Consider the following 26,598-nt stretch of genomic DNA (forward strand, 5'->3'; position numbering starts at 1 on the left):
ATATCCTAGTACATCACTCTTAAGTTCTGCCTTCCATAAGTCCTAGGCCTTGGACACAATTCTGCCAAGTTCATTGCAACTCTATGTAAAGACATACTTTACTCCAGTTTCCAACACTTTGTTTCTCATTTCCATCTGAGACCTCATTAGAATGGCGTTTACTGTCTATTATTTCTGCCACCATTCTAATCACAATCATTAAGTAATATCTAAGTTCCAAAATTTTCCTACAGCTCTTCTTTACTTCTGAGCCCTCACTAGAATTGTCCTTAATGCTTCATTTATAGCAACCTAGGTTTTTTCCTAGCCCATTTCTCCAAATTCTTCCACCTTCTACCCATTACCCAGTTCCAAAGCTTTCACATTTTTAGGTCCTTCAGTTTAGATCCCCCACTTCTTGGGATCAATTTTCTGTCTTATCATGTTTTGTGTTGTTATGACAATACCACAGACTGGGTAATTTATAAAGAAATAAATTTGTTTTTAAACAGTTCTTATTTTTATAGAGACAGGGTCTTGCTCTGTTGCCCAGGCTGGAATGCAGTGTTATAATCATAGCTCACTGCAGTCTTAGTCTCTTGGGCTCAAGCAGTCCTTCTGCCTCAGCCTCCTGAGTATGCCTGGCTAAATTTTATTTTTTGTAGAGATAGGGTCTCACTATATTGAAGAAATGTATTTCTTACAGTTCGGAAGGATAGGAAATCCAAGGTCTTACATCTGGGACTTACATCTGGCAAGGGCTTTCTGGCTGTGTCATCCTATTGTGGAAGGCAGAAGGGCAAGAGAATGTGTGTGTGCACATGCATGGGGGAAGTCGGGGGGCGGGGGGAGAGAGAGAAACAGAGAGAGAGAGAGAAAGAGGGCTCAAACTAGAGCCCACATGACCTAATCATAACTTTTACAAGTCCCCCCTCTCAACACTGTTGCATTGAGGATTAAGTTTCCAACATGTGAACTTTGAGGGACACATTCAAACCATAGCATGGTAGTCTTTTGGAATGCAAACATTTAAATGTATCAGTGATTCACCAAATATTTTACATACTATCAACAAATGTGCTTGAAATTATATTTCTGTATTATACACAGTTTCCACAAGTATTTATATATTTTTGGATAGAAGGTTATTCAACTGAAGGGTTAAAGAGAAATGTTAGAGTTATTTCTGTTAGAATAAATCAATATGTGTTCAAAGACCATCTCAAGTACTCAGTGAAGATTTAATGGGGAATTTGGACAGGAAAATTTCAAGGTTGGAAAAGGTGAATATAATGGCAGGGAAACTAAGATGTTATTTTTTGAGAGATTGTGTGAATTTCAGTTATGTATTATGAACTCGGTTATTTAATTCTGCCCTCTTATTCAACCTGATGTCAGATTTTATACAGATAAATGCCATTATGCTTTTATTATTCAACAACCATATATTTTAAGATGGCTCCCCTCCAATTATTATTGCTGAGTCTTAAACTAGGTTCCTTGGCACGTTTGAACCCAGATATTTTATTTCTAAAGTCTTTAATGAAGTTGCCTGTTAGTGCGACAACAGTGCCTGATAGGAACAGGATAGTGTCTAAATATTGATTGTTGTGTCTTTCACAGCTTTTGATGTACTTCTATTTAATTCAGTTTAAAGAAATCAGGAGCTACAAACTGGCAGATGAAGAGAGCACATTTAACTTTTTAAACATAACTCAGCTTATTTATATATAATATTAAAAATGAGAACATATGCAAATACTATTTATGGTGTTGGCTTGTACAGCTGTTGGTATTATATGCATAATATAGGTACATTTGAGAATTCTATATTTTTTACAATAAAATTTTATTTTCAAGACTCAGTACTCAGTGAATAGAGAAACAAAGTGTATAATAAGCATAGTTGTCTTGAGGTCTGAATACATTCATTAGCCAATTTCTGTTAAGCAATTACTAGCTCTATCCTTGGTGTCTTAATCAGTTCAGATTGCTATAATAAAAATTCCATAGACTGGATGTCTTAAACAACAAACATTTCTTTCTCATGGTTCTGAAACATGGAAGTCTGAGATCAAAGCACCTACAGTTCCAGTGTCTGGTGAGGGCCCTCTTCCTGGTTTTCAGATGTCTGTGTTTTTATTATGTCTTCCCATGCCAGACAGAGAGATCATTTCTCTTGTGGCTCTTGTAAGTGTTCTAATCTCATGCATGAGGAGGGCTCTCCCCTCATGACCTAATTACCTCCCAAAGGCTCTACCTCCAAATATCACACTGGAAATGAGGGCTTCAACATAAATATTTTGGGGAAAACATTCAGTCAATAACCCTTAAATTCGTAGAATTATATAATCTAAAATGGTTTATTGGCTCAGATAAATGAAAAGCACATTAAACATTGCTGGTATATAAAAGCTTCCATATAGAATGATTTAGGCATTGCATAACAAAAAGAAAATCAACACAGAAGAACTGAAACATATATTCTAGAGTAGGTATAGAAGCCTCTGTTTCTTCATGTGTGAATTGTTATTTAGGAGATCAAACTTGAGTATTTGGGCATTCAATTTTTTGAATTACTTATTTTTAAAGTAATTCAAATACAATACAAAACTTAAATCAAATAGTACCCACAGATGTATGATGAAAGGTCAAGGTATTTCTAATGACTTCTGCCTTTGGCACTATGGTAGATTAACTAGCTGAAAAACCTTCTGTTTTTTATTTTTCTATTATTAAAAGCTAGATAATCTGGATTAAAAAAACACTTATAGTAGAATATTTAAGCTTATAGAAAAGTAGGGAAAATTCCCTGGAGAGAAAAAATAAAGTAAACATGAGAAGTTGACTCTGAATTTTAGGAGCATTAGATGAATTCAATAGAAGTTTAGATATTAATAGCTGTGCAGAGGACAGGAGAGACAAAGCTTTGGTCAAGTAGAAAGTAGGAAGTTGGAAGTAAAATATCTGCATGGGGCTGGTAATTTCCAAGCTCTTCATAACAAAAGAAATTAAGACCTCTACTCAGAGAAAAACAAACGTAGAAAGAAGAAAGTCTAAGTAAATGGGGGAACATATTAATATTATGTTTGTGGATTAGAACACCAAATAATTTCAATATGTTATTTCTTTACAGATTTTCTATAGTTTCATTTCAATCCTTAATTTGCGATGAGACTGTTCTTTTTTAATATTAACAAGTAGATTTTATAATTTATTATATGTGGAAATTTAATAGGCTATGCATAGCTGATAATCTTGAATACTGTGAATAAAGGAGACTTTAATATATTCTTGATATATTAAGAATTATTATAAATATATAGTATTATAATTAAGAAAGTGGAACTTTTAATAGGCCATACAGATAGAAAAACAGAAGAATGGAAGTCCAGAAATAAATGCATGCATATGTAGAAACTTAACTTAACCAGGACTTAATGACCAAAGTAGCCATATAGAAGAGTAGTGAAAAAGCGGTCTTTTAAAAAGTGATGATATATTAATTGGACATCCATATGCAAAAAAAAAGAATCTTCACTTCTACCCCACACCATATGTAAAATTATAAAATTAATAAACACACATACATATCCTGTTAGAGTGTATATCTCAAATTCAAATCTAAGTGTATGTCTTTTAGATGCAATAGAAAATGTTATAAATTTACAAGGCAAACATTTCTGAAATAGGACATCATTAGCACTGATTATGAAGGAAAAGATTGGTAAATTGGCCTACATTGACATTAACAGCTTGATATGGTTTGGCTGTGTCCCCACCCAAATCTCATCTTGAATTGTAGTTCCCATAACACTCACATGGGCAGGTAATTAAATCATGGGGGAAGTTACCCACATGCTGCTCTTCTCATGATACTGAGTTTTCATGAGATCTGATGGTTTTATTAGGGACTTTTCCTCCTTTGCTTGGCACTTCTCTCTCCTGCCGCCATTTGAAGAAGGACATGTTTGCTTCCCCTTCCACCATGATTGTAAGTTTCCCGAGGCTTCCCCAGCCATGCAAAACTGAGTCAATTAAACCTCTTTTCTTTATAAATTACCCAGTTTCAGGTATGTCTTTATTAGCAGCATGAGAATGGACTAATACATAGCTTCTCTTCATCTAATGGCACCATTAAAAAGTAAAAAGGGCAACAAATTTGGGTGTTGTTGCTACCAAAAAATAAATAAATATGGGTCATTAACTTAACCAGGAAGACAACATACATCAGAGACTTTATAGACATTGATTCATGTCACTGAGTGACAAATCTTATGTAAAATAATTACCTCTAGCAATATGGGAGGCAGCCTATGTATGTAATGAATTTTTGATTGTGAGGTAAAGTTAAAAGCAGAATATTGCTAGTTTCTCTTATTTGCTATTGGCTGTATTTAACATGGTATCATGAGAAAAATGAAATTTGAAGGAATTGGTTAATTTTCAAGCAGTAATGAAAAGGATACAAAATACTCAGAAAGCTGAGGATTTAAGAGGCTTAAAAAAAGCAACTGCTTCTTAAACCTAACCAGTAAGAGGGTATAAGAAAGACTTCAGAAAATTTTGAGTGACCTTGGCTCAGCATTGTGACAAAGACCAAATTAAGAGTACAGTTTTCACACTTACTGTTAATTACCCTCATTGAATTATTGTGCCTCAAGGAAAAGTTCAAGTTAAGAGAATGTGGTCAAGTAAAAGTTTTTAATTAGATAAAATGATTCAGGGGAAAAGCTCAAGGTTGTATTAGGTTGGTGCAAAAGTAATTGTGGCTTTTGCCATTAATTTCAATGGCAAAATTCAGTAATTTTTGCACCTACCTAATAGTTCTTCCACTGAAGCCCAAAATTTCAAAGTAATTTATCAGTAATTTGAGAGAGAGGCATGAGGGCAAGAGGGAAAAGAAATATAGCTATTTTGGTGCGTATGTCAAGAAACTGGAATTCTGAATGTGATTATTGGAAGTAGATTAGAATCAGGTAGCTATAAAGACAAATTTTTGGAAGGGTTGTATTTCCAAAATGGATTAGGAATTGGAAACTCATGTGTGTATCCCCAAGTATTTCCCACACGTTCATAACAAATTCCTATTTATTATTTAGGATCACCTATTTCACATACTTAGCTAAGGCATGTAAGAAAATGAAGTGCAAGTGGGGTTGTTAGCCAGAGAGTCTAAAAATTCCCAAACACAAATTAGATAAACAAGAAGAGATGTAAAATACTATGATGGTGCAAGGTATAAGAACTAGACTAAAATCCAGTGGCTATACAGTTTAGTCTTTATGCTCTAGTGTTAAATTTTATGCCTCTGTGTTCTTGGCTAAGAATCTTTCTATGCCACATTGCCCTTGCTGGCAATGATGTAATAAAGATATTTATGTTAACAATTTCAGAATTTTGTTTTGAGAATAAAATGGAAGGGAATATTTTTTGAAAATGTTATAGAGTGATATAAAAAATTGAGTCACACAGGATATCAGATGTCTGCGGTATCTATCAAGCTGACATGATGTGACTTGCTGGAATACTCACCTTATTTGGATTCTGTAAGATATGTGTACCTAATTATTTTACAATTTAGACACAAAGCATTTTAACAAAAAACATATTTTTTAAGAGTTTCTAGATGAAATTATTTTTAACACCTAAGCTAGATAAATTTATAATACAAAAAAGAGATGATCAGACCGTTCGTTGTCTTTCTAGATCATATTAAATTTTAATTGTGGCAGATCAAATAAGTAATTAAGGACAAAAGCAAAATAAATAAAATTGGAGTTCTTTTTAAAAGATAAACATCCAAGGAAAGCTCAATAGAAAAATGTTGTCATTTAAAGTGAATTTACATTCTGGGCACAGCAAATTCTAATTTTTTAAACCACAGACTAAGTGAAGCATAAGAAGTGAATGTGCATATTTTCCCTAATACTTCATCAATGTATTCTAGGGCTCCTTCTAAGGTCAAAACCACTATAAGCAATGCCATGTCAATTAAAACTGTCTACAAATTGAAGTGCACTTTGGCTTCCATTCAGTTAATTGAATAATAGGGAATGCCTGAAAGGGTCAGTCATCCGTAATAATCTGAACTGGGGGCCAATTTCCCAAATTTGGTTTCTGATTAAAAATAGAGGCGATGCTGTCTTGACACATTTAAAAAGACAACAAAAATTTATTTCTTGCCCATGCACTAAGCATATATGAGCTGGGTGGGGATTCTCTTGGGTTTCATCACAGCCCTCACTCTGGGATCCAGAATAAGGTGTCAGCTATTATCTGAATATTGGCAGAAACCATGGCTAAGGGAGAAAAGAAATGATCAAAGCATGAACTGGATATTATAGTGTCTGCCAGATGTGACACCTAATCATTTCTGCCCTCTTTTCACTGACCACAGCAACTTACATAACTATGTCTGAGAAATAAAGCCAAGATGGTTAAGCCTCCTGCAGAAAGGATAAACAATGAAATATATTATGTTCAACATATCTGGGTGTTTACAGGGGATATTAAGCACATACATTCCAAATGATTATTTCTGTGAATAGAATATATATATTTTACTAAAGCATAAGCACTTGATGTTGTTTCTCCACATCCCAAATTTTCTCAGTATCTTGCAAATGTTTGAGTTATTAAGTTAAAAATAAATCAACATTTCAACAATCTATGGACTAAAATACAATTTTGTTCATAGACAATTTTTGTGCTGCTGCTCCTTATTCTCATGAGACTCTGATTAAGTAATTAGAAAACATCACAAGTGCAAAGGGCTGGGTTGGGGGTGTCTCATTTTCACCAGAAACTGGTGCCTTTAAAAGTGCTCACCTCCTAACACCGATGCATTAGTGTTGGCACAGACTAGAATCCCTGCAGCATGGGCTGGCAGGCAATGCCAATTTGGGATAGCTTGAAAATATCATTAGAGAGCTACTGTATGAAAGCTGAAGGTAAGAAAGAGAATTCAGATGTCAGTGTGCAAAAATAAGTGTGGGTTTTATTAAAGTCGACATCTGAAAATTAAAGATAATTTGTGTGTGTGTGTGTGTGTGTGTGTGTGTGTATATGTGTCTGTTTATATATATATAGATGAAATCTCACTCTGTCACCAGGCTAGAGTGCAGTGCAGTGGCGTGATCTCAGCGCACTGCAACCTCCACCTCCCAGGTTCAAGTGATTCTCCTGCCTCAGCCTCCCGAGTAGCTGGGACTAGAGATGTGCACCATCACACCCAGCTAATTTTTGTATTTTAGTAGAGATGTGGTTTCACCGTGTTGGCCAGGATGGTCTCGATCTCTTGGCCTCATGATCCATCAGCCTTGGCCTCCCAAAGTGCTGGGATTACAGGCGTTTGCTACCACACCTGGCCAATTTGTATATATTTTCATGCTATGTTATTCACTGTATAAAATGTTCATTCATCATGTATAATCACTATAGATTAAACTTTGTATCAACAGAACCTGATTCATTCAAATCAGATATTTTAAAAATTTAATGACTTTAATCTGGATTCTCACTTTAATATTAATATTCTGCTTTTTGTTTACTTTATTTTGACATACTTTATGCATTTTCAGTCTCCCTGTGCATTTTTATCGTCAGTTTTTCTTGTACATAGTATATATTTTAAGCTTATTTGAGAAACTTCATCTTTTATAAAGGGAATTTAAGTAATTCATATTTATTTAAATAAATAACTTTTGGTATTGATTCTAATAGGTAATAATTGATATATTTCATGATTCCTTTCCTTTTTTCTATTATGCTTTATAAATTATGCTTACTTTTTGGCTCTGTAGTTATTTGCAAATTAGAATATTTAAAGATAATTTATATTAGATAACATTTTAAATATTCTAAAATTGTTTTTTCCTTCCTTAGCACTTCTAATCTTAGATTGGTTTTCCTTTATTGGCGATTTCATTTTTCTAATTGTTCTAGTCATAAATCTTTGAGTCATCTTTGGCTCATATCCTTCTTTCACACACAACATATAATCTGTAATGAGTTCCCATTGGCTCTAACTTTATATTTAGCACAAAATCCAACCACTTTTTGTCACCTCCTTTGTTAGGACCTTGGTCCAGGGATAGGAGAATAAACTGTTACCAATTGTGAAGAGTTATAAAGTATCATGGAGATATTTTCAATCTACCATAGTGTATAAGGTTTTTTTTGTTTCAAAATGTATTTAGTCTAATATTAACAAAGCACAATAGACTTTGAAAAAATGTTTCTTGTTAATACTTTCCTGGTCTTGTTTTGATCATTTTTCAATCTTTATTTGTCCTTTTTGTTTACATAGCATACATATCATTTAGGTTTGCTAAAATATGTATCCAAATTATACTTGTTAAAAATCTTTTATTTCTTACATTTTAAGTGTATTAATTTTTTGAACACTCTTTCTTATTTTTATCCTGTGAACTAGTTTGGATGTTGGGACATTATTCTCATTCTGCTGTTATAGTATATGCTATACCTCTGTTGCTTAGATTCACTGGTAATTCTAATCTGTGATTGGATTGGACAGAATTCCAGGATAAGTGTTCATTTTTTTTTCTTGGATTCAGCTGTCATGTTTTCTAGTAGAAAGTACAGGAAACTGTAGATAAGTGTGTTCTCAGGCAGTATTAAAGAATTTTTCTTTTATCTAGGAGAAAAATATAACCAAAAATTTCTGTTTTATATTTATTGGCTGTTATTCATTTCCAGTTATTTAAATCATACTATTGGTAATACTATTATCAATAAAAATATAATACTATCTCCAATAGACATTTTTGAACATTAATTGATTTAATTATATTTTATAACTATACATCACATTTTCTCATATTAAATGGAAGTTTTCAATAATACAAAATATCATTATGTAAAACATTTTCTCTTTGATTTTTTTTAAAAGTAATTTTATTAGAAATGTTTCTTCACTAGATTTGACTACTTAAAATAGTCTTACTTTTGAGGTTGAACACATTTTTGCCCTTGTTTCTGGCTACATTTTTAATGTTGCCAGAAATTTTAAGCAAAATATTTTCTTAAATTTTAAGACAGTGGGCAAGTGTTATTTTTACAGTCAGAACTATTTTTGAATTTTTGTTGTTTTAGTTTTCTTAAATTAAACTTATGTTTCTGGCTGGGCATGGTGGCTCACGCCTGTAAACCCAGCATTTTGAGGGGCCGAGGTGGGTGGGTCACCTGAGGTCAAGAGTTTGAGACCAGCCTGGCCAACATGGCAAAACCCTGTCTCTACTAAAAATACAAAAAGCAGCCAGGCGTGGTGGTGGGTGCTTGTAATCTCAGCTATTAGGGAGGCTGAGGCATGAGAATCACTTGAACCCAGGAGGCAGAGTTTACAGTGAGCCGAGATGGATTGCGTCACTGCACTCCAGCCTGGGGGACAGAGTGAGACTGTCTCAAATAAATAAATAAATAAAAATAAAAAAAACCTATGTTTCTTAATTTATAAGCAATGGCTACACTAAAGTAAACAACTGTGGTAGCAAAGCTAAATCTGAGAACATGAGCTATGACAAAATGGTCTCATTTAGCAGAGACATTAACTGTGTAACAACTATGCCATAGACACTAACAAAATACTAGGGTAAGAACAGCAAAATGGATATCATAATTTAATATTTTCTCTTGAATATTACTGAAATAAATCACATTACTTTTTTTCCCCAAAATACACTTGAATATATTCTTTGTTAGATATTAATCAATATTAATAACCACAAAGTCTTGTTCAATGAGTAGGCACGAGGAGATCACATGTCATGGAAAAGTGGTTAAAATGAGGCCAATGCTTTCTTTTCTGAGGACATGATTGGGGTGGATTAACAAACGTGTATATTTACTTTGGCTGGGGCACAGCAGGGTCTGGGAGTTTACCTCCTTTGGAGAGGCATAGAAGCAGTCAGTGGCTGACTGAAATTTAGATCAAGTAAGTAGCTTGCTTTCCTCTCCTCCTTGACACTTATGGGAGATATTAAAGCCTAGCCTCTGGCTTTGACCTTCTCAAGGACAGAGGAAACACATGCGATGTAAAGAAAGCTAGGCAACCCAGACCTTCCAGCATCAGCCACAGGGTCTCTATACATGGGTCGATGTCTTTTCTGCTTCCTGAGTTGGTTCTTTAAGGATCAGCCACTGCCTTAAGCCACTACACAGTGCAGGAAAGATAAAGGGGCTTCCACCCATTTTGACCACAGTTAATTCATAAATCAATTAATCTGCTCAAGTAGTTGAGAGTTGACCATATTTATGTATCTCTATTATACTGTTAGACTCCCAAATATTCTTATTAAAATGTTGGTCTAATAAACTCCACCCTGACTAACTTCAAAACACACACACACACACACACACAAGCGCTGACTTCATTATCAGCAAACTACAGGCTTTACTTTAGTCCCTGGAGCAGGTGACAATTTGATTTTTAAGTGTCTTACTGATACTTTGCATTGATGTAGCACCATTCAAACCAAATCTCAAAGTGCTCTACAAAACATTAATTAATGAGAGCTCATAATATCCCATAGAGGACCGGTACATTTTGCAAGCTACCCATTCAGAGATGAAATTTCCAGGGGTTAAGAGGCTTAATAAAAGTCACACTTCAAAAGCAATTGTACAGCTATGAAATGAGTTCAGAATTTGAAACTATCAATTTATATCACTATCAACCAGGACTCATTTCCTCTTACTGTGTGTCAATAACCAGTAATTGACTTTTTTTTTTTTTTTTGGTTTTTAAAGCTAAAGTAGCATAATTCAGAAAGCAAAAAGGCCAACGTTTCAGAAAGGCTTTCTAAATAGATGTGCTAGTGGCTATACGATTCTGTGCTAGTGTTGATACAGAAATAGTTGAACTTTAAAAGTGGGGGTGTTTACTATAAAAGACGCCAACTATTTGGGAAGATCATATTATTGGGAGATAAAAAGGTTGAATTTGGCAATTTGGCATTGAATAGCAATTTAAAAGTTCAAAACTAACATTTTGAGATATTAGTTGTGACGAATTTTTAAAGAGCACCTGCAATATGGTAGTTAGATCACAAGCTTTGATGTTAAATAAAATTGAATACAACTTTAGGCTCTGCTATTTAATTGCTGTGAGACTTTGAGAAAATTACTGAATCCTTCTGAGCTTCAATTTTCTCATTTGTAAAATGGAGACTCAGTTAATGCACCCACACACACACACACACACACACACACACACAAATGTATGAAGAGGAATGCCAAACTTTTTACTTATCACAAATATACTTCATTTCTCTGAGCAGTGAATCAGGAAAAAATTAACTGGAATTATTTTCCTCTCTAAATTTAATTTTCGGAATATATAATTCATGCAAATGGTATAAAATTTAAAATTTAAATACTTTTAAAAATGTACCTCCCTTCCTTACTTGTTTCCCAGCCATCTAGATACTCTCCAAGAGAAACCTCAAAATTACATTCAAAATGTATATTTCCAATGGTTGCTATGAATTTAGACATATTTTATTTACACATTTGTTCATGCCACAAAGATTATTATATCTAATACATGTTGTTAGGATACTTAAGATTGATTATCACTTATATCTTAGAAATCATTTTATGTATGTTTAGATACATTATTTTTAATAGCTGCATTTTTTAGTGAATGATTTATTAACCAGTATCATATTGCTCAGTAAATTTTTTCCCAGGTCTTTGCTATTATGACTGGTTTGGCATATACAGTAACTACTGTGCAACATAAAATATGTACAAAGATATATTTATGTACATTTGCTATAATTATTTATCTTACATGTAGGACAAATATAGCAAAATCTCTGTGTCAAAGTTGTATGTATACTTAATTTTGATAGATATTGCTAAATTGTGCTACATAGAAGTTGTCAAATTTGCCAGTCCCACCAGTTTCTCCTAATGATACAATGATAGAGGCAGGAGGAAGATTAATTCTAAGCACACAGGGGCGTGTCCCTGGCAAAACCCCACCTGCAAGCCTAAAAGCCTGAAACCTGCAGCCCAACATGAGAACTTTCATCCCTGTTTTCCTGCTTGAATGTTGCTTTTTCCTAAACTACCCATGGCACCTCTCCACGCCCCCATGCTGTGCCTCTAAAAACTCCAGACTCAGCTGGCAGAGAGGAGAAGCAGCTGGATGTCAGGAGGAAGTGGCTGGGCATCAGGGAGAGGCAACTTGACTTCCAAAGACAGAGGCAGAGAGGCAGTTTGACTTTACAGGAGAGTAACCTTCCCTTTCCATCCTCTTTCCTGCTCCCCTCCCTGCTGAGAGCCTCTTTCATCACTCAATAAAATTCTCCACATTCACCATCCTTCAATTAGTCCATGTGACCTCATTCCTTTTGGGCACCGGACAAGAATTCAGGATGCACTGGGTAGGGGTACCCAGGAAGGCTGTCACACTGGCCCTCTGCCCTCACTGGGCTGAGGGCAACTGCCCACGTGATGAGGCAAAAGCCCCACTGAGCTGATAACACTTACGCTGTCCGCAGATGGAAGAGCTGAAAGAGCATCATAACACACCCTCTGAGGCTTCCGAGATCACAGGCATCCCTACCTGGACACTGCTGCAGGCCCGCATGGAGTTTGCTCCCACCTGCGCCCAAAAGCGGTCAGTTGGATCCCATACCCATAGCCTATACGTCCCCTCCCACAAGGGGTTGAGAACAGTGAGCCAAGTAAATGGAGTTTTTTTCCTGCCAGTGCCCAAAAGCACTCGCTCCAGTTCCTGCACTTGTTGGCTCACATGCTCCCTCTCATGAGGGGTAGACAGGGGCAGGCTGAGTAAATGAGGCACCCCCCAACCAATCCCAAGTTCTGCAAAGGGGTCATGAAAATATCCTGTATCACTTACCCATGACAATACTGTATACTACTGAACTTCTAGACATTTGTCAATCTTATAAGCATAAATATGTTTTATTAATTTAAGAATACAAGTATTAAAATGAGGATACATTTAGATCAATAACAGCAACAAAAAGAATAACTTTCATGATGTCTAATTTTGACTAGATTTTTGTGTGTAATCATTAATACTTTAAGTATACCACCTAGCCAATATCATTTCGTGAATTTAGAGACATGCTGGTTTATTCTGTATAGGTAAATGTAATTCTCAAGTTTCATTCCAAAAAACATGATCAAACTTTAAATGATTTAGTACTTCTGAACTTTTGAGTGATGTCTATATAACATCAGACTGTTTAGTCATTGATATGGTTTGGTTCTGTGTCTCCACTCAAACCTCATGTTAAATTGTAATCCCCAATGTTTGGAGGAGGGAACTGGTGGGAGGTGATTGAATCATGGGGGTGGATTTCCTCCTTTCTGTTCTCACAATAGTGAGTGAGTTCTCACAAGATCTGGTTGTTTGAAAGTGTATGGCACTTCCGGTTTTACTCTCTCTGTCTCCTGCTGGCCATGTGAAGATATGTCAGCTTCCCCTTTACCCTTCTGCCATGATTGTAAGTTTCCTGAGGCCTCCTCAGAAGCAGAAGCCTGCACAGAGCCATGAGCCGATTAAACCTCTTTTCTTTATAAATTACCCAGTCTCATGTATGTCTTTATAGCAGTATGAGAAGGGACTAATACAGTCATCCTGCAGCTATTAAAATGTTCCTAATTTCATTTACAGATGATTAAACATTAGCCTAAATTATCAGGATTAATATTGAGATATTTGGTACAAATTTCTGAATATATGTTGAAGCTTTGTTAGAATGAAAGTTTGGTTCTCCTGGGTTGTGTGTTCATCTGCATTTGTCTGTTTGTTGAAAATCAAGTTATTTTTTACTTGGTCACAAATGCAATCTTGTGTGTGTGCATGCATGTGTGAGTGTGTGTGTTTGTGTGTGTGTTTATACAGTCATGCATCACTTAACAATGAAGATACGATCTGAGAAATGTGTCTTTAGGTGATTTCATTATCGTGAGCACCACTGAGTGTATTTATCCAAACCTATAAAGGATAACCTATTGCTCCTGGGCTATAAACCTGTACAGCATGTTATTGTACTAATACTGTAGGCAACTGTAATAAAATGGCAAATGTTTGTGTATGTAAGCATAGAAAAGGTAATGTCTTGTCCTATGATTTTATAAAAGCTACAATGTCACTAGATAATAGGAATTTTTCAGCTTCATTATAATCTTAAGGGACCACTATCACATATGTGGTTTGTGATTGACTGAAACATCTTTATGCAGTGCATGACTCTATATGTAGTGAGTAATGCTTACAGTATTATATTCTTGACTTCCTAATTGAGATAGTAGAAAATATGTTAATCAGTGTCACCTATGTTTTTATGAGACAGCATATTGATTTAACATTACTATTTTACTAACAGATTGGAGTTGACATTTATGAAATTGATGTTTATTTTACATGTATACAAGAGAAAAGTGTTTAAGAAATTATTACTATATTTCTTTGACCTCAATTATCCTGATAGTTCAAGCACAGTATTCTTTACAGACTTGAGAAGCTCTATGACTGAACCACTCCTTTACATCATTATTCTTTTTCATATTATTGTGAGCTCAAACTTTTCTGTGTTTCTACCTGCATTGATAAAGGAAACTTCATATGAACATACAGAAATAGGGGTGGGATATGTGAAAGGGATTAGTTATAAATCTCACACTGGGCAACACAAGCTTGAGGTTTTTCTAATTTATTTAAATCTCGTATTATGTTCCATTTACTCTCCTTGTTTTAAATGTATTCACACTCATTGCACACAATTGATGCTCTAGTATTATGTGCCATGTTTATTGGGTGACTTCTCATATCCTTACCACATATAAGCCGTTTACACAATTTGAGTAGGGCTAGAATATGTTAGGGAAGTTAAATGGTCAATTCACTGGACAATTTTACTGATTTAGCCAAGGCCTGTTTGGGTATAGAGCTGGCATGTTTTTCTACTAAATAATTAAATCAAACACAATTGATTTAAGTTAGAAATATATTTCTAGCCCAATATGGCATTCAGTCTGTTCAATTACACTTTGGCTCAGATTTTGCAAATTTAAATAGAGGACCAAAACAAAAACAATTTCCCTAGGTATTTGCCTTAAACTAGTGTGCTATACTAGGATTGTAAGATCATTTATTGTGATGATAATCAGTGTTTGTGATTAAGCTTTGTCCTTTTTTGTCTAAAGCGAGTTTTATTCCCTAATAAAAAGTAGACATTCTTTGAAGACAATAACTTGCTTGTCTAGGTTTTGAGTTTCTCAAGCTTGAGTTCTCAAAAACAAAAAGGGTAGGAGTGCTATGAGAGAAGAGAGAACAGCCCACGAGTTTCTTTCTATTGTTCCAGAGCAGTGGCTGAATCTGATGGGGATGAGGAGGAAAACGCTGTGCAACGCACCGCTATACTCTTGACTTCAAGATGCTCAGGCTTCATAGACATTTTTCTGGCCAGTTTGGCAGAGAAATATTGAAGACACAGAAATTCCAACGGACTCATGTTTGTGGTCAATGGACACAATTGCAGTAACCAGTTGACAATAACCGGAGGGAACTCCAAGTGTTTTGGTGTCACCTGTGTGTCTTGTATAAGTGCACACACACATATACACACACACACACATATATACACAAAGATGTATATACATATACATACATACATATACTACATATACCTCCCAGGTGATTCTAATGATGATCCTCATAACAGTTTTTGAGGCTGATGTTGTTTCCTTTGTTCAGCAGTAAAGTTTGTTGCCAAACTTTAGGATGCATTAAAATTACCTGGAGTGCTTGTAAAAACACAGAGTGATGGGCCCAACTTCACGGTGGATAATTCAAGGGATCTGGAGTAGTGCCTCAGAATTTGCATTTTTAAAAAGTTCCCAAGTGATGCTGATGTGTTAGGTTGGAGACCACACTTTGAGAACTACACGTATGAAGGATGAAAGAGGTTCAAGGATTTGAAGCAACATAATGACTTTTCCAAATTCACAAAGCTAAAAAAGACGAGACTTGAAACTGGTGTTCTGATTTTAAACACATTGATTTTAAAAGTATACTAGTGTGTTACAATTTACAAATTTAGTTTTGTATCTATTATCTCAAATGATGGTTGAAAGAACATGGTAGGCAGGGGACACTGCTGTATAAAGATAAAGAAATTTAAGCACAAATAACTGAAGTACTTCTACATGGCTATATAGCAAGTAAACAAAAGATAATAGAAATTAATCAAGATACCTACCTTTAAAATCCAAGTTTTTTCATTACTTTAAGTTGCTCTAATCAACCAAAGTGAAATGGTCTCATACTTCAGGTACCTTCTCTTTTTATAACACACCAAAATGTTGAATTAACTACATTCTCATTCCACATAGTGACATAATATTGAACTATCTATGTGACTGAAATTTGCAGCAACATTTAGTTATAATATTTTTGTCTTAACTTCAGATTCTGTGTTATTAAAATAAAGTGTGCAAAATTTTTCCATTTCTTGGAAATACATTTATTTGGTAGATTTCCAACTTCCAAAATGTCTCTTGTCTGTGATGAGTTGATTGGAGATAGAAAGATTGCCTAATTTATTTAAGGCATAGATTCTGTTTTTGAAACACCAATATGTAGGCACATACGGTTTTTTTCCAGGCTATTGTATATTTTCTAGACAGTGAAAATAGCATATCATATAGAAGAGTTGTTTAAAGACCATCAGTTCGGGTGCAAAAGTTTTATATACTGGGTCTTTTTCACTCTTTCTTTGTATTTGGCAGAAAAAGTAGAAGTGTTACTTCTTTAAAAACTGTTCAATTGCTGTGCCTGCCTGAGGCCACATCTTTCTACATATACTTTAGGCAGGCAGATCACCTGAAGTCAGGAGTTTGAGACCAGCCTGGCCAACATGTTGAAACCCCATCTCTACTAAAAATACAAAAAAATTAGCCAGGTTTGCTGGTGCGTGCCTGTAATCCCAGCTACTCCAGAGGCTGAAGCAGGAGAATCGCTGGAACCCGGGAGGCAGAGGCTGCAGTGAGCCGAGATCACGCCACTCAACTGCAGCCTGGGCGACAGAGTGAGACTCTGTCTCAAAAAATATAAAATAAAATGCACATTTGTTCTTTTCAAGGAACTATCTTTGTCAACATCTGCAGAAAACTTTAATGAAACGTATCCAGTGATTACGTGGACTTCATTTGTACAGAAACTGCCAGGAACCCAGAAACACAGCTGCTTTCTTAACCTTATCAAAAATAAGAGTCACAGTGTCAGCATTTACCCGCCCCCCCGACAAAAAACACACACTTCTATTGATCTAGAAAGGTATTTATATTTTGATGACCCACAAGAAATATTTTTGGAAATAAAGTTTGGACTAGCTACCTATATATTACAGATCTGTTTTAATATTTACAACATAAATAAATAGATATTACCCTGTCCAAAACAAAAATAGCACTGACAAAAGATCGACATACTCAACAAGACCACACCCCAACAAAGGCCTGCAAACGTTGTATGTACAGGCTTTTGAGGAAAATGCAGCAGAAAAAATTAGCTTTAACAAGATAGAAACACAAACATATTTAATTTTAACTAAATAGAAGTCATTTGAATGTATTGAATAGTTGTTAATATTATTTTTAACAGCAAAGAAATAGCTGAATTTTATTTAAGAGCTAACTATGCTGCCAAAATACATGCAATTCTACCTGGTGCTTAAATGGTTCTTTTTCACCATCAATAGCTTGTAACCTAAACAATACCATATTTAAAATCTACATATCTACCATTCCATATCTAGAATGAGGTGCCGGGGTGGGAAAAGCATAACCCTTATTGTTGTAATGGTAAGGCAGACTAGCTCCCCATGCTAGCCATCCTTGTACGCTGCTGAGCCTGTGAATTTACCAGGAGGTGTTCTGCAGAAGACACCCCTCACTCTCTGCTAGCTAAATTTATGAAGCTCGTTCTTCCAAATTAAGGCCAAGATTTTTCTTACTACCCCTAGAAATCTCTCTTGTATTTTCTACGGCATGAAGTCTCATTTATTCATTCTGACTTAATTTCAACACCTCATTGTCTTCCAGGTTAGAGTGTCAACTTCTTACGTGCCAGACTTCATCTTACATTGTTTGTACTATGTTGAATCTAGGAAATTCTGGGCACCTAAATAGCCAACAGGTGGATAAGACACCGGTTGTATGTAGATCTTTTGTCAGTGCTATTTTTGTTTTGGACAGGGTAATGTCTATTAATTTATGTTGTAAATATTAAAACAGATTTGTAATATATAGGTAGCTAGTTCAAACTTTATTTCCTTACTGTGTTCTGAAAAGTTATTCTGGTTTAGAAGAGTCACAAGTAGAAAGGGACTGGATTCTGTAAGAATCTTTTACATATTTGTAATAATGCCTGAAATAAAATTGTATTTTAAGATGAAATTACGAAATATTTACAAGTGACTATTATTTGCTGTAGATAGAGTACCTTTGTTTCAATTATTCTGCCATGAAAGAAACAAGATTAATAACTAGGTAAGTGTCCTGTGAAATGTTTTAAACTTACAAATATGTCCTATTTAAAATTGATTACTTTCATAATTGTTAATTGATCAAAGCATTCATATTAAATAAGGTCTATAGAAACTTTTTGTTGTAGTCAGAGTAAGGAACTCAATTAGAGGCCCCCAAATGAAATTACTAATAAGCCCATCAACAAATTATTGTAACTGAACCCTTATCTTGGCAGCTGAGAATTAAAAGAAAAGTTATTTGAGGACAAGAGATATAATTTTTAAAATTACCAGAATTGACAGGTTCTGAGGTCCTCTAAGTCCCCCTTTCAGACAAAGGGCATTTATTTTGTTATCATTATTATTTAAGACATCTTTCTCTTTGAAGCCCTTGAAACTAATTTATTTCTTTCTCCCTCCTTTCCCTCCCTCCCTCCATCCGTCTGTCCCTTCCTCCCTTCCTGCCTTCCTCCGTTCATATTATTCTGATCTTCTGACTAGGGGAAAAATAAATAGACTATGCATCCCCAGCTCTTACATTATTAGGACACAATTCGTATTTCTTCAGGGTTTTTTTTTGAAAAATTTTTAAAAGAAGGAGAGTATGAAGATTAATCAAAATTATTATCTATTGAGTAGGCTGCAATCAGGGAATTATCCAAGGTGTACTTAGGAAGAGTCCAAGCTTTCTCACATTCAGTGGTCTCAAATTAGCAGCAGCAGCAGCATCACCTGGAAACTTGTTAGAAACACAATTTCCTGGGTCTCACTCCAGAGCTCCTGATTTAAAAATTCTGCAGGTAGAGCTCAGGAATCTATGTTTTCACAAGTCCTCTAGGTAATACTAAATGTATTTTAGAATCCAGTAATTTATTTCTGGGCAGAATAAAGGACATGGAAAGCCTCATTCAAAACCATTTTTTCTCACAAAAGTATGTAAAAATATGTTGGAAATGCAAATAGTATGGCTGATTGTAGAGGGAAATTAATACAATTTTGCTAGTTCAGGTCTGATTCTTCTATTTTGTTCCACATGATCGAGGTGATTCTACTCATCTCTTAACAGGACTAAAGATAGTATGTTGCCATATTAATTAGAGTTTGACTGCAATCAACATTTATTAAAGAGCATAGAACAAAATTCAAATAATTTATGCTTCTATAAAGGTATCTTTAGAATCTCGGGTGGAAAAGTTTGAGAAGGGATGAGTTATGGCAGAATTTTTTTTTTAATCTTTAGGTAATTTAGAAGCGGAATCACATATAAACATTTCCAAATTGTATTGAAATATGAACACAATTCCACTATCTTTCTCCCAGTAAAATTTAATAGTCATTTCTCTAAATTCCTTTTCTGTTATGGAATGCTCTCTGATTTACAGACATGTATTATGTATAACTAAGAATAGAGGCTTTCAGAAATTGTTGACTCTAACAAACAAACTTAAAAGTTCTTAACATACGGTTGTTGTTGATTGGATTTATCTATCATAACAAGAAACTAAGATAAGGTTTCATTCGGCAAAAAACACCATGAAGTATCATTTCATGGAAAGTCATTAGCTAAGACTAAAGTATGAAGTAACATGAGAAATGCAAATAACAGCAATATAAATAAACTATCAAATGTGAAAGCAAAATTGATGTGAAAATGCATGTAGCCTCAGTGTTCTTTCCTCATCCCCTTCCCTCCCCCTGTTTTTAAGGCAACATCAAAACAGTTACTTCTGAGAATATTTATAACCTGTCAAGAGAAAAGAGTAGAGACTATGTGGCTGTGCATCCCTGAAGGAAAATGTTCATTTCAAAGCACCATTGATGCAAATATTGCCTCTTTTCTGTTTTGCTGAATGGGTTGTTACGCTGATAAATTTAATTGTGTTAGAAACATAATTATCTAAAAGCCACTGGCATTAAAAACACCAGTGTACTTCTGTAATAGAATTATAGATGTGGGATCATCTTTAATATAGGGGACATGAGTCTTAATATGACTTGCTTTATTTTATTTTATTTTTTTTTAGATGGAGTCTCATGCTGTCGCCCAGGCTGGAGTGCAGTGGCAGGATTTTGGCTCACTGCAAGCTTCGCCTCCTGGGTTCACGCCATTCTCCTGCCTCAGCCTCCCGAGTGGCTGGGACTACAGGTGCCTGCCACCAGGCCTGGCTAATCTTTTTTAGTTTTTAGTAGAGACGGGGTTTCACCGTATTAGCCAGGATGGTCTCAATCTCTTGACCTCGTAATCCGCCCGTCTCAGCCTCCTAAAGTGCTGGGATTACAGGCGTGAGCCACCGCGCCTGGCACGACTGTTGCTTTTCATGTGAGGAAATAATAGCACGATAACAACAACAATAAAAATGCTTCAGAAGAAGTTTGATATGGTTGATGGGAGATAGTGGTAAGAGATTCTTGCAGATGAATATTGCTATTTCTACTAAGCTGTTAAAAACTTGAGACATGGCCGGGCGCGGTGGCTCACGCCTGTAATCCCAGCACTTTGGGAGGCCGAGGCGGGCGGATCACGAGGTCAGGAGATCGAGACCATCCCGGCTAAAACGGTGAAACCCCGTCTCTACTAAAAATACAAAAAATTAGCCGGGCGTAGTGGCGGGCGCCTGTGGTCCCAGCTACTTGGGAAGCTGAGGCAGGAGAATGGCGTGAACCCGGGAGGCGGAGCTTGCAGTGAGCCGAGATCCCGCCACTGCACTCCAGCCTGGGCGACAGAGCGAGACTCCGTCTCAAAAAAAAAAAAAAAAAACAAAAAAAAAAAAAAAAAAAAAAAAAAACTTGAGACATGTCTAAATCTTCATTGTCACACACACACACACACACACACACACACAAACACACAATTTCCTCCCATTGGTTTTCATTTGGTTGTATTTACTGTACACTGAGATTTAAAAAAAATATATATGAAGTGGCAAAATACCTCTGCAAACAAACAAAACAAGTACAACAAAAAAATTACCAAATTACATTATGTGTAACTGAACTAATAGGAAATGTAAATATTCTGAAAAGAGGGAATTCTTAATTAATAGGAATTAAATATTGTTTGTCCAAGGAAAGAGATGTCAGAGATGAAATGGGTAGCTTGAATAATAATAGACGGAGGAGAGAGAAAATGAATGTGCATATCTGTGACGATGTTTTCTATTTAAAAATACAATTTTTAACGGACCCAATAGAAAATCTTATCTCAGTAAACTATCAACTGTTTTTATGAAATGAATACAAAAATCTATGCTTGAAGCTCAGTTTTGTAATGTGCTCTTATGACTTAGTTTCAATTGTTCAGTAATTAAAACCTCCAAATAATAGCAATTTTTACAAAGAATATTGTGAATATTTTACAAATAATTATTGTGAAGTATAAGACACTGTATATATCTCTTATATATGAAAGTGCACATATAAATTACTATTATCTCCAGGCTTTAGAAGAAAATATTTTTCAATATTTCTAGATATGAAAAATGCCTCTAATGCCACCATAGGATGAGAGTCTAGGAGATGGACTTTAAGTTGTGGCTGTTACACTGACCCAGATCACATATGTTTATTAATTCAATGAAGAAGATCAATTATACTGCAGTTTTCAGAAGTATTAATATATGTTTATCTTTCTTAACAAAAACTGATGACCTAAAAAAAGGGAGGGAAGGCAAAAGAGAGAGAGTGATATGGTTTTGCTGTGTCCCCACCCAAATCTCATTTTGAATTGTAACTCTCCCAATTCCCCTGTGTTGTGAGAGGAACATGGAGGCGAGTGATTGAATTATGGTGGCGGATCTTTCCTTCACTGTTCTCGTGATAGTGAATGAGTCTCATGAAATCTGATGGTTTTTAAAAGAGGAGTTCCCCTGCACAAACTCTTTTTGCCTGCTGCCATTCACATAAGATGGGACTTGCTCCTCCTTGCCTTCTGCCATGATTGTGATGTTTCCCCAGCCCTGTGGCACTGTAAGCCCAGTTAAACTTCTTTCTTTTGTAAATTTCCCAGTCTCGGATATGTCTTTATCAGCAGCATGAAAGCGGACTAATACAGAGAGAAAACGAGAAAGAGAGAAAAACAAACAGAAAAGAAAGGAAGAGAAAAGACTGATTTTTAATTTTCTATTATGATATAAAAACCTCAGCTTACTCAAACCTAGGAATCATCCTTGCTTCTTTTTTTCTCACCTCCATTTTATTTCCCTCACACCCCACTTCTATTTCATAATTATTCTGTCTAAGAAACCACCCCAAAAGACAGTGGCTTAGTACACACACACCTGTTCCCAGGTTATGCTGTGAAAGTAATTTCTGTAGTTCCAACTGGATGTCTTTAATTTTTCCCAGGAAATTTGTCACCAGTTGTCTTTTATTTCTCTCAGGAAAATTGTCACAGAACCTTTGTTTATTATAAAGCGAGGGGTGATAAGAATCCTTCTCGTGTGCTTTCGCATATTTTCCCCAAATTCATGTTGAGTTCATTCTGACCAACACATTGTTGCTTAATATGAGAGGACTGGGGATTGGAAAAAGGGTCCAGTATCTGAATCAGTACATTCAGCCCACTGAGGACATCTTCATCCTGCCACATCACTCCTGCAGCTTACAGATGTATAGCTTCCCTTCTCTATTAGGAATTAAAGGAGAAGTTTGTATCCTGTGAACAAAGTGTGCAGCTGCATGTGTGAACATACCTTGCCCCTCCCCACTGCACACAGATGTAATGAGAGGTTGTGTTAATTTACATATCCCAATAAGTCTTCATAATATTTACAGTGGTTCTGTGGCTCAGCATTTGGATTAATAACATAGTTAATTTTGGGGCTTTATAATATTTTAGATTCCGCCTTTGCTGCACACATATTTTCAATGTCAGTAGCACAGAGACATCCACATGCTAATTTGAAGAGGTTTGTTAATTTAGGTTTGTTTATTCTGAAAACTCTACTAAAAATGAAATTTTAATGTACTTATAAAACCTATTACTTTTCCCTTCAAAGTGATATAAGACCCAGTAAAACCTGGGTAATAAGCTTCAGCAACTAATGATATTTGTAGAGGCTTTTGAAATGCATATTAGGTGATAATATTCCATCTCTCACTGTTACAGTATTATTATGATCCCAAAACTAGTAACACTGTTGAAGTGAAATCCATATAAAATAACAAAATTCTTAGAACTTTCAGGCAGTGTGTTTGACATTTTCTTACAAAAAGTCAATCCAGTTTCTGTGCTCTTGGTTCATTTTGTTTGTCTTCTAAGTGAGTCAGGATCAATAGGATCACTATGTTTATCTATTCAAATCTGAGATATTGACTTGCAAATAGACAATTTCATTATCCTCATGGGCATGATTTTCCTATTGGTGTCATTGGTACTAACTGAGCCTTTTGGGATTTCTACTGAAAGGTATGATAGCTTGTGTTCAACTCAGTGAGAGTTTACTAAATTCCTCCAATCATGCCTAGAGGTACTACATACAAATATGTGGTAATAATATCAGTGTTAAAGAGTAATGTGAATGAAAGGGTTACAAAATGAACTCAAGGATTATACAGAGCTGTGCAGAACACTCACTATAGCAGACAAGATCAGATGGCACACTGTGCTTGGGGTTCATACACAATTTTCAAAACAGCAGGGCTTTGTTCTCAGCTCTTCAGTTCTTGCAGGCTTATGAGCTCTTCATCAAGATGGGAAATACAATCTTTTTGCTCCTTCTGAAAATGAGAAAATCTTTTGAAGTTGAATTTGCTTGTAGTCAGTGCAAATGGTAAAGAAAAGTGAAGGAATTTAGTCAAGCAGTTTGCAAAATATTACATGAAGGGTTATTTGGGAGATTGATTTATGAATTTATGGGACTACAGGAGAGTCATTAGAAGATTTTGTAAAAATTTTAATTAAGTTGCAGTAAGTTTAGCAGTAACCCATTAGATAAATCATATAATTCTTAAAAAACTTTTATGTAATGAGAAAATTTTTTTGTCACAATTATGTTTTTGTTATGTTAATTGTGGGTTTGGAAAAGCAAAAACAAAAAGCAAAAACAATTTATAGAAAAATCTATCTACGTCAAGATAATACCTATGGACAACAACAAAGTGTGTCTTGCTGGATTTGTCTTCAGTTCTTAATGTCACGTGGTTTCCTTTGGCAGCCTCCATGTCACAGTCTATACTCTCATTAAATTCAAAATTGTGAAAGTAGTGAATTTATCCCTTTTTCACATATTTCAACATCAAGTCTATTGTTTATTACTCGTTAATTCTCTTTGCAAATACAGTGAAATTTTATATTTTAGATTAGAGATTTGGAAGTAGTAAATTTAGTGGCTTGCCCACTTAATAATTCAAACAATTATTTTTATTTGTATTATTTGAGTGTCATTTTCAAGGCATTGGAGATCTCTGTATGAAGGGAACAAATCTAAACTTCAAAAATAATGCATTTTATATATTTTACTGTTCCAATTTCAAATTTTAAATATGCTACTTTTTCTATCAATATTCTTCTGGAACTATGTATGAACTTTCTGCTACTGATTACTTGGTAACTATTTACTTTTTATGTGGCCTTTGTATAGTTCTGTATACTTGCTTAAAGTTGGAATTGTAAAAGTACTTACTAGATTTGGGTTTGTGAGAACTACCAGAATAATTCATGTAAAGTGCATTTGCAAAATTTATTCAGTATGTTATCAAGAATTTAGGCTTTACTAGCATTTTTATTACACTTTATACTCTTATAAATTTGTTCATACATACTTTCTTGTTTGAGCTTCTTATGAGCTTATGAAGTAGACAAGAGTGAATATGACTATCCTAATTTGAGAGTGAAAGAACTGTTTAATTTCTTTATTTCTAGAGGATCTGAGTCCTCTTATAAAAAATAGGTTCAATAAAACAAAAGTTATAGCAACATTATCTGATTTTCAACATTGCAGAATTAATTTGTGACAATCCTAGGGCAAGGCCTCAGGTATCTGGAGTTCCAGACTAACTTTTTGCTCTATCACTGTCCCTTATAGACATGATTCTCAAATTATGTAATTGCATTCTCTCCTAAAATCATGAGAAAAGTTGTATAACTGTAAGTAAATTTTGATAAAAATGTCTTTAGAAAAATTTCCTCATTTTTACTTTAGTCCCAGTAAGTACTTGGAAAACATTTTTGGATCAAATTTCCTTAATTGAGCATTAATGATTGACTTTGAGGTGAAGAAAGGAAAAAAAATTAAAGCTTCTTGATTGACTATATGCTAGACAAAATTGTATTCCCAACTTGCCTACATTATTAGTTTTTCTTCAAAAATGCCGATAAACTGACTTAACTCAGTTAAATATTCTCAACATGGGCAATAATTTTTAAGGAAAACCCATATCTTAGTGTGGTTTCTGTATTCTTAGAAAGCATACAACTTTACAGAGCACAGGCAAGGATTTAGTGCTAACGTCATGTACGGTGACGAACCTGATACAAGACCCATAAAACACAGATTCTTTTAAAATCTATTTTTTCTTGGCAGGGGAGAGGTTTTCCTCCATCCTCTGGCAGTTCCCTCAATGTAACATAAGAAGCTCTGCAGACACATGCACACGTATGTTTATTGCGGCACTATTCACAATAGCAAAGACTTGGAACCAACCCAAATGTCCAACAATGATAGACTGGATTAAGAAAATGTGGCACATATACACCATGGAATACTATGCAGCCATAAAAAATGATGAGTTCATATCCTTTGTAGGGACATGGATGAAATTGGAAACCATCATTCTCAGTAAACTATCGCAAGAACAAAAAACCAAACACCGCATATTCTCACTCATAGGTGGGAATTGAACAATGAGATCACATGGACACAGGAAGGGGAATATCACACTCTGGGGACTGTGGTGGGGTCGGGGGAGGGGGGAGGGATAGCATTGGGAGATATACCTAATGCTAGATGACACATTAGTGGGTGCAGCGCACCAGCATGGCACATGTATACATATGTAACTAACCTGCACAATGTGCACATGTACCCTAAAACTTAGAGTATAATAAAAAAAAAATAGAAAAAAAAAAAAGCTCTGCAGATTGCTA

General features: G+C 35.1%; 1 long non-coding RNA gene across 1 annotated transcript in view, besides 1 other annotated feature; it reads left to right on the top strand.

The window, feature by feature from the left end:
* Nucleotides 1-26,598, top strand: part of LOC124904475 (uncharacterized) — a 765,263-nt gene that overhangs the window by 386,846 nt on the left and 351,819 nt on the right. The window lies entirely within an intron of this gene.
* Nucleotides 5,591-5,760: an enhancer, noted in NCBI's record as "experimental_1434 CRE fragment used in MPRA reporter constructs". NCBI's record gives its function as "activates a minimal promoter by MPRAs in K562 erythroleukemia cells, with activity observed for both the introgressed and non-introgressed 1:193815936 variant alleles {active_cell/tissue: K562}" and the evidence as "EXISTENCE:reporter gene assay evidence [ECO:0000049][PMID:34662402]".

This window comes from Homo sapiens, chromosome 1 (assembly GCF_000001405.40).
Source record: "Homo sapiens chromosome 1, GRCh38.p14 Primary Assembly".
Lineage (NCBI taxonomy): Eukaryota > Metazoa > Chordata > Mammalia > Primates > Hominidae > Homo > Homo sapiens.